Source organism: Homo sapiens, chromosome 5 (genome assembly GCF_000001405.40).
Source record: "Homo sapiens chromosome 5, GRCh38.p14 Primary Assembly".
NCBI classification, from domain to species: Eukaryota; Metazoa; Chordata; class Mammalia; order Primates; family Hominidae; genus Homo; species Homo sapiens.
In genome coordinates this window covers 95,214,082-95,232,323 of record NC_000005.10, presented here as the reverse complement: position 1 = coordinate 95,232,323, position 18,242 = coordinate 95,214,082, and the positions used below count along the sequence as shown (strand labels likewise).

General features: G+C 37.2%; 1 protein-coding gene and 1 long non-coding RNA gene across 21 annotated transcripts in view; one reads left to right on the top strand and one right to left on the bottom strand.

Moving 5' to 3' along the window:
- MCTP1 (multiple C2 and transmembrane domain containing 1) overlaps positions 1 to 18,242 on the top strand; it is a 581,405-nt gene that overhangs the window by 52,771 nt on the left and 510,392 nt on the right. The window lies entirely within an intron of this gene.
- The window catches only part of LOC105379085 (uncharacterized), a 121,023-nt gene that overhangs the window by 27,273 nt on the left and 75,508 nt on the right, over positions 1 to 18,242 (bottom strand). Inside the window, exons 1-2 of one of the 2 annotated variants that reach the window (XR_948576.3) lie at positions 13,506 to 13,585; positions 12,615 to 12,754 (exon numbers count right to left, since the gene is read on the bottom strand). The exons of the other annotated variant lie outside the window; for it this stretch is intronic. This is a non-coding gene — a long non-coding RNA (uncharacterized LOC105379085). Of the gene's footprint in view, positions 1 to 12,614; positions 12,755 to 13,505; positions 13,586 to 18,242 lie in introns of those variants that run through there. 2 annotated transcript variants of the gene reach the window in all.

Here is an 18,242-nt window from a genome sequence, read left to right as displayed (position 1 = left end):
CTATTATCATCATTATCCTATTTGTTTTATTATGTTAGTCCTGTGTCTTCTTCCTTTCCCTTTTCCTTTGTATCTGTCTTCTTTTGAATTAATTTAGTATTTTTTGATGGTATAATTATTTCATCTTTGTTTATTAGCTATGACTGTTTTTTTTTTTTTTTTTTTAGTGATCACTTTAGTTATTCTTATCTGGCAGTGGTTTTATCCTCCAGGGATCATTTGGCAATGTCTGAGAACATTTTTAATTTTTGCAACTGGGGAGATGCTGCTGGCATCTAGTGAGTAGAGTCTGGGGATGCTACTAAAACTCCTACAATGCACCTAACAGCTCTCCATGACAAAGAATTGTCTGGCTCAAAATGACAAAAGAACTAAGGTTGAAAACACTGCTTTAGGTTTTATACTCTACAGCTATCCCATCAAAGTCTACTTTCAAGTACTATATCCCTTCATGTGTAATATAAGAACCTTACAATAGTATACTTCCAATTTTCCCTTCTTGACATTTATAATACTGTTGTTATACATTTTATTTATGTCTCTGTTGAAAATTCCACAATATATTTTTATTTTTGCTTAGACAACTATCTTTGAAAGATATATAAATAATAAGAACATGATCTTATCTATTTACCAGTATAGTTATCATTTCTGGTACTCTTCATTCCTTTATGTAGATCTGTACTTCCATCTGATATTACCACTGGCTCTGCTACAGCTACTCAGCATTGTGCTGTGGTATAGAATCACTCATGGCAGTAAATTGAGTCAAATGTAGGGCCTACTTTGTATATTTCTTATTTTTTGGATATTACTGTCTTTTGTTGCCTGATGTCATTGTCTTAAAAACTATAGATTCACATCATAGATTTGGTCTGTTTTTGTTTTTGTGGCTGTTGTTGTTTCAAGTGGGAAGGTAAATCTGATTCCTGTTACCCCAGTTTGTTGAGAAGCAAAAGTCTATATATGTGTATATATATATATATCCTTATCCATCAGTTTTCTTATGAGTGGATTTGGCTTCAAATTGCTATTAGTTACTTAGGTGTTATACATAATATTCATGATCATTAAAATCATCTTTATTACCATAAATGTGTGAAGATATTCTAAGTGTATAGAGCTGTTTATGCACTAAATGGCCCTACATTACTCCACTTTTTGAATTATTTTTATTTAAAAATTTTCAGTCTTTCAGTGACATTTAGGAAATGTCCCAGTGTTCACTGTATGCAAAAAGCAATAAAATGATTACTGAAAACAATATTGTCCCTTGCTATTGGTAAAACTTCTCTAACAGCAATGTCAATAGCCATTTCCATCCTCTACCTCTATTTGCATTCTCCATGAACTGTTTGAAATGTTCCTTCTATTAAGAGCAACATTTCCACATAAGATTAAAAATCTAAACGATGGGAAGTTTTTTTCAGCATGTGCTAATGGGAAATTATGAACGAACTAAGTATAGAATTTCAGTTTAAAAAAAAGGTGTGTGGGGATGTTCTTACAGCTGTCAGTGTCAATTCACGTCAAATTCACTTCATTGAAGTTTAAGTTTTTCAGAAAATGTATTTCTTGTGGATATACCGATTAAAACCCATATATGCCTAGTGTTCCATTATCAGAACGCTAAACATGTGGGAGTTATTTATATCCTGCTGCTCAAGGTCATTGCCAAGGTCTGACTGCAAAAATTCAAAAAATTGCAGCCTCAGGCAAACTGGGTTAAGAGTGAGATTTTGCTAGTCCTATGGCCAGGGAGCCTGAGAGTCCCATATTGTGTCCTTTCCATCTCCATTCCTTCCAACCCTCCCACAGGGCTCACTAGAAGTCATGTTTTAAGGACCAAAAGCAGAATGAGAATAAAGATGGAGCACAAGGCAGTGGTTAAAAGTGGGAATTCTGGGATAGGTTGCCTGGTTTCATATCAGCCCCGAAACTTACATACCTTACGCAAGTCACTTAACTTTGTATTGCCCCAGTTTCCTCATCTGTAAAACGGGGTTAATAGTAAGACCTATTTCATTGGATTGTTATGAGGGTTAAATTATATATATATTTTGTGTGCGTGTGTGTATATATATACACACACACATATATGTATGTGTATATGTGTGTGTATATATATACACACACACATATATGTATGTGTATATGTGTGTGTATTTGTGAGTGTATGTTTCATTACCTGTCACATGGAAAATGGTTTATAAGAGTTTGTTAACTAAAGAAAGGTACCTTCCTCTTTATTATATTCTGCAAGCCTCCAAGATCTTCTCTGTTAAGAGGAGCATGTGCCTTAGTTCTGGAGGCCTCCTTTTCTTCTCCATTATGCTGGGGGCATGGTGACTAGTAAAGGGGTAGACAGAAATGAATAAAGGTGTGGGAAGAGAGCAGGAAGAAGATATGTGGGAGATCACTTTTCCAGTCCCCTCTTGAGAAAGAAAATCTTTTCCCAGGGACTTTTCCCACTAAGCTAAGAAGTATGTAGACACAGGCTCTCAAACACTCTGACACATAATCTCTCTTAAGCATCAGTGGTCATCTCCCTCTTACTGTGTAACCAATCTTTTTTTTTTTTTTGAGATGGAGTCTCATTCTGTCACCCAGGCTGGAGTGCAGTGGTGCAATCTCAGCTCACTGCAACCTCCGCCTCCCAGGTTGAAGCGATTCTCCTGCCTCAGCCTCTTGAGTAGCTGAGATTACAGGCGCCCGCCACCACACCTGTGGTGTATTTTTAGTAGAGATGGGGTTTCACCATGTTGGCCAGGCTGGTCTCAAACTCCTGACCTTGTGATCTGCCGGCCTCCCAAAGTGCTGGGATTACAGGCGTGAGTAACCAAACTTTTCTCTCATCAATAAGGCAGAATAAGACCCAAGGAAAGGAATGGTGGCAGTACTTGCAAATGCTTTGGGGTATCTTAGAGGAGAAATTGTAGATATACTGTCCAAGATTTTAGTAGAAAACTAATCGAGTTGGGGTCACTATCTGGGATATAGTTCATTAGTGTTTTAGGTCAGCAGTTAGCCTGAAATTCTGTCAAGTCACCTCATTGCTGAAAAATTTTCAGTGGCTCCACATTGCCTTTTGGATAAAACCTAGACTCCTTAGTAAGAATCACAGATCTCTGCACCTCATCCAAATTGTATCCTTGTAAATATCTCTTGCCAGTGTTAGGTAAAATTGCTTGTTCTGGCTTCGGTCAGCTATTGGTGTCCTCCAAGCTTCCTGTGTTTTTTGGCTTTCATTTATTAAAGCATATCAAGTGCTCATCTATGACACCCTCTGTTTTCTTCTCTACTATATTAGTTCATTCTTGCATTGCTACAAAGAAATACCTGAGACTGGGTAATTTATAAACAAAAGAGGCTTAATTGGCTCACAGTTCTTCACGCTGTACAGGAAGCATGAGGCTGGCATCTGCTCGGCTTCTGGGGAGGCCTCAGGAAACATAATCATAGCAGAAGGCGAAGAGGGAGCAGGCACTTCACATGGTGAAAGCAGGAACAAGAGAGAGAGTTGCGGGGAGGTGCTACACACTTTTAACCAACCAGATCTCACAAGGACTTGTTCACTATCGGGACGACGGTACCAAGGAGGATGGTGCTAAACCACTTATGAGAAATCTGCCCCATGATTTAATCACCTCCCACCAGGCCCTACCTCCAACATTGGGGATTACAATCATGAGATTTGGTGGAGAAAGACACAGATCCAAACCATATTATCTACTAATTTGGGTTCTCCTCACTCCTTAAGACTCAGCTAAAATTTTATATATTTTGACAAACCTTCCCTGGTGACCCCATGGAACTGTCTCATTTGTCTCGCTCTCTCTCTCTCTCTCTCTCTTTTGGCTGCATGGAAGTTTTTCTAAGTTTTTGGCCCAAACTCTCTTATCTTTCCCCTTGGATAACTTTTACGTTTCTCTCTTTCTTCCTCTATAAGATTGATTCTTAAATTACATCTCTACTCCCATCTGGTATTGGCAGTATGTCCAGAACCTCATTTCAGAGTGTATAAAATTTAGCTTGTTACAAATGCCCTGTGCTGGACAAACTGAACTAGTTAATTCCTAAATATTCATTGTTTTTTGTTGTTGTTGTTCTTGTTCTTTTGGATGTGCCATTTCTTCAACTAAGGGCATCTTCTCTTTGAATTCTCTTAAATCTTGCCTTTTCTTCAAAGTCTCAAACATCATTTTATTCCTGAGGTTATCTCTGATCAACTTATTGGAAATCTCTCCATTTTTTGGTGCCTTTTGTTTGAACTACTATAATAGCATTTTTTATAAGCAAAAGTGCTTATCCTAGTGTCTGATATATAGTATAATTTAAGTATTTTAATGTATAAAAACATGATCCTGACTTCTGAGCTCTTCAAGCTTGCATTTTCTGAGCTATTTTAGTTTATGCACACTAAACTTTCCACCCAACTAGATAATAAGCTTTTAGAGGGCAGAGACATACTTTATATTTCTTTGTATTTTTTACAGTTTGATAAATGCTTTGCATCCTTTTTTTTAAGCAACAATTTGTTAATTCATAATGTTAATATAAGGTAATGACCTAGTGATAAAAAAGTAGTATGACATGTATTGTAAAACATCTTTCCATTAAGCTCCCCCATCTTCAGAAAGCTATGTAGACACAGCCTGTCACTAGAAAGGAAATAATATTACTCTGAGACAATTGTACATGTGCCCTGATTCTAGAAGATGTTATAAACTATTTGTTATGATTCCTATGATTCCTATAAAGTTGCCTTTTAGCTAATACCAAGTCTGTCTCAGATGGAAATCTGATCTCTCTTTGACTGCTCTCATTTCTCCCGTTTATCTTTTCTGAATTCTGAAGGCTGTTTAGGTTCTGAGCTTTGTCTTGGGTTTCATCGTGAAATGGGTGATGATTGATTCTATTAGGGCTAGAAAAATAGTTTAAGCTTTCCATTTATACTGGAGCAGAACAACTACACACATCCCAAGCTTTTCTTTCACTAATGTTAACCATGATCTTTCAGGACATAACTATAAGGTGTTGTGATTAAACAGTCACGATGTCTGTTCTGCTTTAATTTCGGGGGGATTGGGAATAAGGCAGAAAAAAAGAGCTGAGAAGACACATGAGACATAGCCTAATCACATCTTCTGAGCTTGAATTTACCAGTTGTAGCAGGATTTAAAGTGTCAGGTTCTTATTTTTTCTTAAAACTAAATAAATAAATCAAATTCTGCCTCGGTGGCCTCCAAGGCTTAATGGGCCTGAGTCTATTTGTCTAAGAGGCTGACAGAGGCTGGGAGAGGGGTCTGGATGAGAGCTTTTCATCCAGCATCTCCTCTCTGTATGGAATGTAATCTTTTCTTTTTGAGGGGCCTAAAATCCCGTTGTATTTTGTAGTCTCCCCTTTATCTGATATTGCATAGCTGTTTTGTTAATTGCTTCAGGAAATGAAGGGTTCTTTCTTGACCTCATGTGGAAAGTAACCTCAAATAAATTTTTTTTTTTGCTTCACCTCTATCTTGATATCAACATAGTTTAAAATGGGACTGTTCTTTTAATGCCAGTTAGGTTTTGGTGAACATTTGGATTTTCTTCCTTTAAAAAGTTGCATTTTTACTTAACAGTAAATATTTTCAAAAAGAGAAAAATCCCACATCTGTGAACTTAAACAAAATATTCTCATGGAAAATAGAGAAAGGAGCCCTCCATAGTTGGCAAGTTAAAAAAAAAAAGGTGTTCTGAGAGAGCAGTAAATTGTGACAGAGAGCTTAGTTGACTGGGAGAAGAATTACAGAAAGCATTGGCAGTGGATGTGTGGCCACTTACCAAGATTTACTCCGAAAATGAAAAATCCTGCACCTGTCACACAGAGATTCTTCATACTATTTTTGCTCACTTAGTTTTGCTCATTTAAGTATTCTTTGGTATTGCTTAGTGGACTAAAATACATGTTCAAGGCAGAGGGAGGCGAACTCAGAAGAGGAGGTTCTCTTTCAATTAAATAATTAAAAAAATTAACGTAGCCACAATACTCTATTTAAATATATACAACATGCTTTCCCCCAAAAAACAAGAACAAACACATTAACAATAAATATCCTTGGGTCCAGATTATGGCGAGGTCAGAGAGGTGGGGTAAAGAGGGAGGGAAAATGGACTTTGGGGACTTGGGAGGAAATGGTGGGAAGGGGGTGAGGGATAATAAAAGGCTACAAATTGGGTTCAGTGGTGATGGGTGCACCAAAATCTCACAAGTCACCGCGAAAGAACTTATGTAACCAAATACCACTTGTTCCCCCAACACCTGTGGAAATTTAAAAAATAAAATTAGAGATGATATACTTTCATCCATCTCTTAGGGAATAGGGTCACAAAACAGGTCATGCATCAGAAAAAAATTAAGAGCAAATTATCTAATGATTCTGGAATCTCTCTCCCCTCATTTTAATGAAATACATATTTACATTAAAATATCTTCTAAAGTCAAACAAAAGGGAGGGAGGAAGGGAGATGGAGAGAAGAGGGTATGGGGACAGACTAGGTGGGAGGGAATGGAGAGGGAAATGTCCTTAGACACAAAGGAAAACCCAGAACGGAGCAAGAAGATGTAAAGGAGAGAGATGAAACCCTGAGGAAAGACGGGAAGGCAGCAGCAAGCACTGTAACCTCTCAGTGGAATGTAAAGTGGAAGGGGAAGAGTAAAATGTTCTTTCCCACTTGAACTTGGGACATTGACCATTCTTGGAATCTTAAGGCCTACATAATAGTATAGGACAATGGATATATATTCTTTATTTTCATTATTCATTTGCTCCTGGTTTGGGAAGGGTATGCATATTTGTTAGCATCTAATCTCTTTTGGAGCTGGTATTGTAAAGTTCCTTGTATGTTCCTATAGCCTGGGTCAGAAGCCATTACTGTCTGGAGTTGGGAGATGTCCAATTTATTATGAAAATGTTAAGAGGGAAATCAGCTGAATTATTCTAACATCTCTGAGGCCTATACTGCTGACACCTGTGTCAGGTCATGAATAAATGATTTTTTAACTGCCATGCTTTTAGAAGATTCTTTTAAAATGGTAGCCAGTAAGTGGGCTGTCAGGTATTATTAATAGTAGGCTGAGTCCATGGAGAATCCAGAGGAAACATTAACATGTAAGAGCTCATTATTCTACTGGTATGAGACACCTATGAGCTATTTTTGCATGCTTATCTGAGAAATGATGAGAAATTTATTTTTGTAAGCTAAAAGAAAAAAAATCTCTGTGGTTGATTGGTTTAATCTTTAGGTTTTACTTTATATTCTATTTCCAGCAAAAGCCTCTTAATATGTTCTTTATTACCCTTCAGGAACATGTTCTGGTGCATGTTGTCATTTATACATGGCAGAGAGGCTGAAAAAAGTAATTTCTCAATTGATAAGTTAAAGACTTGTACTTTGCTCTTTGAACACTTGAATTGAGTAGCTGTTCAGGAAGAAAACAAATGATTGGGGGTGTTAAAGAGGCAGCCTAGGCTGGGTGTGGTGGCTCATGCTTGTAATCCCCAGCACTTTGGGAGACTGAAGCAGGAAGATTGCTTTAGCCCATGAGTTCAAGACCAGCCTGGGCAACATAGTGAAACCACATTTCTATGAAAAATAAAATAAAATTAGCTGAATGTGGTGGTGCATTCCTATACTTCCAGCTACTCAGGGGGCTGAGGTAGGAGGATCATTTGAGCCCTGCAGGTCAAGGCTGCAGTGAGCTGTGATCATGCCACTGCATTCCAGCCTGGGGGACACAGTGAAACCCTGTCTCAAAAAAAAAAAAAAAAAAAGACAGTCTGTGTGCACCTAAAATATTGTTGACTATCTTAGTCAGTTTCATGACAGTTGTTTAAATGCAGAGAAATTGGATGGTGGACTGATTCTTTGGGATGTGTTAGAGTACTATGCAATATTTGCTAACATTAAATGTAAATATCCCCTTAGATATTGACAAGGCACGAATGAATCTTGGAATTTCTTTTGGTTTTATCAGGCCCAACAGATGAAGGTGTGTAGAAGACTAATTCCCATCTCTGTGGGTATATAAGAAGCTGCTGCATATCCTAGAAACCTTATTCCAGGCAGTGATGGCTACCTCCCTTCAGGCCTGCCCAGTACTCAGTTATTCCAGGGCCCACTGTGATTGTGGAGTGAAATTCCGTAACATGCCCTTTATGGCAGTTGACACCACCAGAGCCATTGCATTTCCATTGTTGCTAGGGATTGGAGTTTCCCCTATTTGTACTGTATTTCCCAAAGTTGGCATGGGGTTTCCTGTTATTTAAGTACATTTCTTAGAAATGTTTTTCAAATAGCCTCATTGTTTACTATGAAAATAGTCTAGAAAAACAGAAAATGTTTCTATTTGAGCTGATCATAAATGTTTGGTATGACCTTCTTAAAAAACACACAGATAAACAGTTGTAGGGACAATTCAGGTCACAGCTTAAAGACTTCAGAAGTAACTTTTAGACTGAGGCTCAAGTTAACATTGAAGAGGGAACTGTAATCCTCTCTGTTAGACCCAAGGAAAATCCCTTCTGAATGTTGCAGTGTTTGGTGTTCCTTCCCTTTGAGTCCGCTAGTTATTTTTTTCCAAATTTAGATTTTCTATTATTGCCATAATTTTTCCAGTTTCAAGAAATATACAAAAGAGACTTGTGGAGTTATTGTTAGTAATTAAATAATAATGATTAACACAATTAATTAATGTTCCTGGTTAACAATTATAATGACCATGAGCCATTTGTTAAGCAAAATGTACCTGGTCCACTCCCCCTTAAAGAGGGGTGTGACGATGATTTTATTTTGTTTTATTTTATTTTATTTTATTTATTTATGTTTTTGAGACAGAATCTCACTCTGATGCCCACGCTAGAGTGCAGTGGTGAGATCGTGGCTCACTGCAGCCTCGACTTCCCGGTTCAGGTGATTCTCCCTACTCAGCCTCCTGAGTAGCTGGGACTACAGGCATGCACCACCATGCCTGGCTAATTTTTGTATTTTTTGTAGAGATGGGGTTTTGCCATGTTGCTCAGGCTGGTCTCAAACTCCTGGGCTCAAGTGATCCACTCACCATGGCCTCCCAAAATGTTGGGATTATAGACGTGAGCCACCACACCCAGCCATAATTAATTTTATATGTCAACTTGGAGGGTGTTTTGGGTTTTTGGATGAGATGAACATTTAAGCTGATGAGTAAATAAGTAAGTAAGTGGATTCTCCTCCATAATGAGGGTGGGCCTCATCCAATCAGTTGAAGGACTGAATAGAATGAAAAGATGCCCTCAGCAAGGGAGAAATCTCCAAAGGACTGCCTTCAGACTTCATCCACACCATCGTCTCTCATGGGTTTCCAGCCTGCTGGCTCACACTGCAGACTCTGGACTTGCCAGCCTCTATGGTCAAGTGATCCAATTCTTTACAATAAATTTCTTTCAATATATATGAAGCACAGTCTATGTATATTAATTATGTGCTTTTAAAATGTGAACAGATATACATAAAACTGTTTATGTGACTAAAATGTTTAAAATATTCCTTACTAAAGTGATAATTTTAACTGGTCCTAAAATTCTATCTTTAAAAAAGTAAGGCCTGCATAGAAAAAGGGAAAGTCTTAAAGTTTACTTTTTATAATTTCATAAATGTTTTACATTTTGTGATAGCAGAAATGACATCCTTACAGGAAACAAACTGTAAAACCATGAAGCAGAATTCTTTAAAAGTTGAAGGAAAAATTAGGAAATTTTGTTCAGATATCAAACTCAAGTAAACTGTGTTGAATAAACAATTAGGTATCAATGTGTATTTTGTTAACCAAGGATAAATGCTGAAAGAATCTTTAAAATTAGCAAGCTTTGACTATTAAAATATGATTCTTAATTGAAGCAGAGACTGCTAATTGTCCTCCAGTATCTAGTCTCTCTTTTTTAATTCAGTATAGATATAACAGAATCCCTAATTTTTACCTGGGCACATGGATTCCTGGAATAAAGACTTTGTTTTCTAGTTGGCTTGCAGCTAGGCATAGCCATGTGACTAGGTTCTAGCCAATGGACTGCAGTGTGGAGAGAAGAAGGCAGGCAGCCATCAGGGACTGCTAGGTGGAAGCTGCGTGCTGAGGATGGCAAAGCAACCAGGTAGATGGAACCTGGGTGCCTGACCTCATGGGGTGCCATCCCAGACCTGGGCTGATTACCTCCAGTCTTTTTATTTGTTTGAAAGAGAAATAAATGATAGTATTTAATCAGTTTATTTTCAGTTACTCCATCTAGACCCATTTTTAGGGTCTAGGGTTACTCTGACAGATACATAAAAGTGTTTTTCTTTTTGATCACTTGTAAAACAATTTTCTGTGTAAATAAATTCCTCAGGATAATAAAGTTTGACGGTATGTTCTCAGGTCCACAACAGCATTGAAAGACTGTTTTCCAGTAAGATTTCATGTGTTGGACTTCAGTGATTAGAGAATTTGGTTGGGTAAGAACGGGTGAATGAGCCTGGCTCCTGAAAAAAGAGAAAACCCATGCTGGATTCATCAAGACCTTACATTCAGCAACTATTGTCTGTCACCTCAACAGATGAAACAACCAACAGGTATAGTGGGAGCCAAGAGAGAATACATACGTTTTGACATTAAAATGTTTTGATATTAAACATGAGGCTAAATTTTGCAAAAGGTACAGGTTAGAGCATAAAAGAGAGAAGCATGGTAGTGGTGATGTCAGTCTGCTTTATTCTGTCACTACCATTACAGACTGTATTTATAACCACATATCTCATGTGCCCCATTTGTCACCATGGGAAGTAGAGGACAAACTCAAAGCCACCTGCAACCCCAAGCACAAGCCCCTATAAGATGCCTTCTTTCTGTTTCGGTCCCTGTGCAAAACCTGCCCAGACAGATGGCTCTGCCCAAGTGGGAGGCAAATTTAGGCTTATGAAAATGCTTAGGATGAAACAGGTTTACTTGGAATACTCTTCCTAAATGGAACTCTGTGTTCTTTCGAAGTTACAGACATACCAAACTGAACTTTTCATTGGCACTTTTTAATGAAATCACAGTGGTTTTTCTTTACTGTTTATTGTAAGTATTATATTTATGTGACTACCAATCCCTATTCAGAGCACATTGGCATGTTAGTTTGTTTCAAAGAAATGAAAACAATTCTGGCTGGCATGTTTTTTACCTGTTGGTTGTAGCATCTATGCTGGACAGCATATTTCGGACACTCTTTAAAAAAGTCATTTTCTTTTTCCCATAATGTTAGAAATGTTTTGGTCTTATTTTAAGCACTTTAGGTCCTTTTTGCGTAATTTTTTCTGCCTTTACTGATGTTTGCAACACGTCTCAATTTAGTACCATCTGTGATTCCATCAGCTTGCTATTTACTGCCTTTTCTAAATCATTAAGGGAGATGTTATGGCAATAATGCTTTATTTACATGTCACTTTACAGGAAGCTCAAAGTATATTTGTAGGAGTTACTGTATTAAACAATGGCACCCATGTGAGGTAAAGAATTTCACAGTTAGCATTTCAACATTAGCATGACTTATTTAAAATAGAAAAAAATATTGCCATGACTCTGGATTTGAAGCATGTATGTTATTAGGTATTCTTGTTGTTCTGAGCTATTAAGGAAGTTGTTGCAGTAGCTTCTGGTGGCTATGTCATAATATGAGAGGTGAGAATTACTGAGTTACATTGATGAATGAGTTTTACTTTTTGCCAGTTCCCTCTTGGCCTCAACATCAAAGTCTTAATTATTGTGAATTGGCTAAAAGCCAACAAAATTAGAGGAAGAAGGAGAAACAAAAGATTCAGGTAAAATGAATTATTAAGAATGAAAAAAATTCTGATAGTGTCTCTCTTCCTTTTAGATTATGATTCCGTCAGTGTTTGTACATGCTTGTAGAGGCCAGCGGACTAAGGAATTCTTTGTAAAAAAAAAAAAAAGGAAGAAGAAAATGAGGATCCAGGTTGATGACTTAATGTACAGATTTTATTTTGTTATTTTATTTTTAAATATTGTACTATGAAAATCAAGTTGTGCTTGGTTAAACACACACAAAAAAATCTCTCATGTACTTAATCAGTATTTTTAGTAACTCTTCAATGACATAGGCTATTAGCAGCCGCTTAAGGAACCTCAGCTCTAATTTAGCCCTTATTTTAATCTTGAGTTCTGAAAGTCAGAAATTAAATGTCATCTATTAGCAACTAATACTACCTTTGCAAGTTAGTTCAAGAACTTTGGGCTCCTAATTTACATATTGCAAGCTGTTGCTGAATTTAGTGTGAGAGCTACCATTTGCCTGTAACAGAATTAAAATTATGATCATCCAAAAGAATTTGTAGGACCTAACAGAACTTCTCATTGATTTTTGGCTTTTAAATTTATCATTTCTCTTTCTTCTTACCATGAATTCATTACCTTAGTAGCTTAGTATTTATTTCTAAATGAGCTTAATAGTGGGGAGTCAAATGAAGGGACAGTTACAGGCATCTTTCTCTATAAGAATATAAAATTGATGGCAGATTTTGGGAAATGGAGTTTTTGCATTTGCATTTAAGTTGCTCACCAGGACACTGAAGATTATGTTTACATTTGTTTGACTGACTGTTGTCTCAGGTTGCTGTGTCTCCTGGGGATGGCTCTGTGTGGTCCACCCAAAGCTGAACAGCTGCTTTAGATCTTTATTGTTGTCGTAGCAGTGGAGACCTAAAGACCGTAGGGAGTCCAGGGCGATTAGAATGCAGCTTGCCAAATTTAATTCATTTGAGTATCATCATCTGATTAGCCTCATAGATACACATGACTTTATTATTTACCTAATGTTTTTCTTTTAAGTCAACTAAATTTTGTGTTTTAAATAAATTATTTTAAAAGGATTTTTTTTTTTTTTTTTTGAGATGGAGTCTCACTCTGTCGCCCAGGCTGGAGTGCAGTGACGCGATCTTGGCTCACTGCAAGCTCCGCCTCCCAGGTTCACGCCATTCTCCTGCCTCAGCCTCCTGAGTAGCTGGGACTACAGGTGCCCACCACCATGCCCGGCTAATTTTTTGTATTTTTTAGTAGAGACGGGGTTTCACCGTATTAGCCAGGATGGTCTCGATCTCCTGACCGCATGATCCACCCGCCTTGGCCTCCTAAAGTGCTGGGATTACAGGCGTGAGCCACTGCGCCTGGCCTTTAAAAGGAAATTTTTACATTACTAGCCCAAATTAGAAAAATCATTTTTTCCCAAAATAGATGGTAACTATAAAAATGAATAGGATGAAAAACCAGATGAAGTACAGTCATGCATTGCATAATGACATTCTGGTCAGTGATGAAATGCATATACAATAGTGGTTCCAGAAGATTATAATACTATATTTTACAGAACCTTTTCTATGTTTAGATATGTTTAGATACACAAATGGTTACCATTGTGTTAAATTTGCCTATAGTATTCAGTACGGTAACTTACTGTGTAGGTTGGTAGCCTCAGAGCAACAGGCTATACCATCCAGCCTAGGCGTATAGTAGGCTATTCCATCTCAATTTGTGTAAGTACATTCCATGATGTTCATAAAACAACAAAATCACCCACAATGCATTTCTCAGAATGTATCCTTATTGTTAAGTGACAAATGACTGTATATAGTTTTAACTAAATAAAGTTACCTGGAGCTCAGTCCCTGAGAACATGTCTCCTGTTTAAACAAGAATAGAAAGATGTTAAAGGCCTACTAGTACCAAACTGAAATTTTTCTCCTTGATACTAGGAAATTAAAAGGGGAAACACTTTGTCTCTACCTGATTTAGAGTGTTTAATGTACCATTACCACCTAAAATGATGTCCCAGATTACTAGTTGAAGCATTCCATACATTGGGAAATACTAGATTAAAGAAACAAAGAGAAAGGATCAAATAGCCTCACTCACTCTCCCATTCATTCATTTCTCTTGTTATGGGCCTGAAACTGGGTATGTAGTGTTGAACAACAAAAACCAAATTCCTGCCCCCATTGACTTAACCATTGAACACGGATCTTTTCTTCCTTGTAACCTATTGTATCATGCATCTACTCTTGCTCTGTCAAATTCTTTTCATCCCAGCTCTTATCTCATTGCTGTCCCAATATAGTGTAACTCATTTGGAGGACTAGAAATTCCTTGAAGTTCTTGTTCTCCTCTGACATCAGACCAGTCCCTATGTGTAAGGCCAAGCCTTGGAATGTGCCTGGAAGGCTCTGTCTCTGGTTCACAGGCTAGATCTCCAAGCCTCTAGCAAATTTGGACAATACGTCATATCTCTCATGTCTTTCCTGAAATTCCTGCATGATCAGAGAAGTTGGGGAGGCAGGGGGGTATATCTAATAATAAGAGGTCCAGGATCATGATTATTCTTTCTTTTGTGCTACTATTTAGTGACAAGTTAGGTTTTAATCCAAAAGTGTGCTCTGGGGCCTCAAGTACAAAATCAGGCTGCCTCAATTGTCTTAACATTGCCTGGTAGAATCCCTTAAATGAGGGGTGGTTAATGCAAAATATATGTATTTTATTAATATATTATTTGGTATATTAGTAAGTGCTTTTTTAGGTTTCCATATAAAATCTTTCCTCCAATGTTATTACCAAGCCTCAGAACTTCTTCAGAGTTAATGCCTGTGAACTCCTCATTTAATGCCCCATTGTTCTCACAGAAATTAATTACAGCGAATGTTGTCTGACTTCATGGGAGTTTAATGACAGAGATTATGACCTCACATTCCCTTTGCAGAAGGAAAGCAGGTGTGGCCAAGACCGGCTTTACTAAAAGCCTCCCACTACATCTTTATTCGAAGAAATATAGTTATCTATAGTTAGAACTTGGAACTTCCAAATTGTATTTGTTGTTCTGACTGAACTTTTGTCAAATTATATAAGTGCTTCGATAAGGAGTTGTATCTCTCCCATTACCCTTCTAAATTTAGAAATGATAATTTTTGACATCCTCTAGGGGAAGAAAATTCTTGAAAGCTCTGATAAAAGCAAATTTGTTAACAAATTTAAAAGGTAATGTTAATGTTAAATTCCAGGAAAGAAAAACTATTTACAGTATATGCTAGGAATATTTGGAAACAATACTAGGAAATATGAATGTGCATGATTAATAAGTATTTTTTAAAGTTTTCAAAGAGTATCAGTAATCATACATCTGTAATCTTACTGAGAAGTGAGTCTGTCTTGTTGCTTTCTGAAATCTTTACTGTGCATTTTCAGTTGTGGATTCCACTAGGGCTGTATATACGCATCTGCTAGTGATATACCCTTTGGATGGTCAATAAAAATGCCAAGTGAAAAACATTTAAATCTTCTTTTTATTTAGCAGTTTTCTTCCAGAGGTAGCCTCAGGAGAAATGATACTGGCTGCTCTCTTGTACTTTACTAATAATAGTAATTTAAAGATGAAGTATTTGAAAAGATTGGCATGTAAGTCAGGAAGGGACAGTTGCACAGTTTAGATTGAAGAGAAAATAAGTATCTGTTTGCTTGTTGCCAGATTATCCATCAGCTTAATGCAACTGCAATTTCTCACTTCGTATGACAGTGTGTTTATAACAAGAATTTATAATTTTGCCATTTCACTTCTCAGTTTGTGTGACCTTATGTCTCTTGCCATAGCTACTTCTTAGAGTGCTGTGATATCGGACACCTTTGACATCTGGTGGGATTTCCTCTGAATGCCTAAGGAGAAACTCATACAATTTGTGTAGAGCCATCCCAGCAGGTACCTTTCAGGCTTGGGAGCTTGGAAAAATGCTGATAGAACACAGTGTAGAGGAATAAATGCCAAGAGAATATTCTTGCTACGGGTAGCTGTGGAAAATGGACAACCTACAGGATAGAGTAGTTTCTTAGTAATTCTCTGGAAAGGTAGGGGATGACTTTTCCAGCTGTAGTTTCTTGGACCAAAGCCCAAGCTTCCTATGGATGTATCATAGCAAGAATTCCTGGCAACATAACAGTGTCTCCAATTCTGCCAGCACAAGCTTGCTTACTGAGTTATCTGTAAATAACATGACACAAAGGCATTTCCAAAGTCAAGACTGTTTTTAGGTAAGATTTAGTGTATATTTTTATTCACTGGAAAACGAAATGCTATTTATTATAGTCCCTCTTAGAGTACCATGAAGAATGGATATAACAAATGCCAAAGATAAGAGTTAATTTATTTATAATATGTTTAACAAATATTTCAACATCAAAGAAAGTAAATTTTAGTTTTTCAAATAAAGAAATATCTTAATTTCTGTTCATAGACATTAAGCAAATATTGAATTGTTTCAAAATGTTATCCCTTTAGATAGAATAAAGGTTTTCTTGTTTGTATATTTTTGTTTTGAATTCTTTAGGTATTAAAAGTGTGTAGAGGCTAATGTTAGTCAAAGTGTCTGTGTTTAGAACTCCCTCCCACAAACTAGATATTTTATAAGTTTTGTTTACCTCCCTTAACTAGAGTTTGAGAGGTAGGTGGTTGCTGGCTCAAAGATTTCAGAGTTTAGTTCTTCAAATTTTTTTTACCCTATTCTTTGTGGCCTTCTTATGGTTACAAGATAGGTGCTCCATCTCTAACATTATATCCATATTTCAGGCAGAAAAAAGGAGAGAAAAAAAGCAGAAAGGCTAAAAAGAAAAAAATAACAAGGCTAAAAAAGCAAAAAATAGCAACAAGGCTAACAAAGAAAAAAAAGGAGGAAAATAAAGCTGAGTTTGCTCCGTTTTTGAGTAATTGCTCAATCCAATTAAATGTCATTGGCCAGAATTGTATTGTATGGCCTCTCCTCTCTGCCAGACAGCTGATTATTGTTTTTTACATGATAACATGATGATCTCCCAGCCCCTAAAATGACATTCTCTTATGAAAGAAGACAGAAAGGGAAGGAAATCAGTCTATCACAAAAATCCATCTTTATTGCTACCTCTTAAATAATTTTCAAATCTATTCATATTTCTGTATTTCCATTTATATCATGTTTTAACAGACAAGGAATAAGAAATCAGTTAATTGAATTGATCAGGGAGGGTCTCAGGGAGGAGATGAGACTTGAAAATGGGTTTTGAGGTTTAGCTATTGCTTGGAGAAGAGAGGAAGGTAGGAATTCCAAGCAAAAGGGAAGAAAGGATAAAAGCTCCAAGATGGACGTGATCATGGTACATACATATGAGTGTGATTATGGTTATGGGCAAAGAGACAATTAGGAGATAAGACTTTCTTGATCTGAGATGTTTGAGACAATCTTTTTTTTTTATACTTTAAGTTTTAGGGTACGTGTGCACAACGTGCAGGTTTGTTACATATGTATACATGTGCCATGTTGGTGTGCTGCATCCATTAACTCGTCATTTACATTAGGTATATCTCCTAATGCTATCCCTCCCCCCTCCCCCCACCCCACAACAGTCCCCGGTGTGTGATGCTCCCCTTCCTGTGTCCATGTGTTCTCATTGTTCAGTTCCCACCTACGAGTGAGAACATGCAGTGTTTGGTTTTTTGTCCTTGCCATAGTTTGCTGAGAATGATGGTTTCCAGCTTCATCCATGTCCCTACAAAGGACAAGAACTCATCATTTTCTATGGCTGCATAGTATTCCATGGTGTATATGTGCCACATTTTCTTAATCCAGTCTATTGTTGTTGGACATTTGGAGTGGTTCCAAGTCTTTGCTATTGTGAATAGTGCCGCAATAAACATATATGTGCATGTGTCTTTATAGCAGCATGATTTATAATCCTTTGGGTATATACCCAGTAATGGGATGGCTAGGTCAAATGGTATTTCTAGTTCTAGATCCCTGAGGAATCGCCACCCTGACTTCCACAATGGTTGAACTAGTTTACAGTCCCACCAACAGTGTAAAAGTGTTCCTATTTCTCCACATCCTCTCCAGCACCTGTTGTTTCCTGACTTCTTAATGATCGCCATTCTAACTGGTGTGAGATGGTATCTCATTGTGGTTTTGATTTGCATTTCTCTGATGGCCAGAGATGATGAGCATTTTTTCATGTGTCTTTTGGCTGCATAAATGTCTTCTTTTGAGAAGTGTCTGTTCATATCCTTCACCTACTTGTAGATGGGGTTGTTTGTTTTTTTCTTGTAAATTTGTTTGAGTTCTTTGTAGATTCTGGATATTAGCCCTTTGTCAAATGAGTAGGTTGCCAAAATTTTCTCCCATTCTGT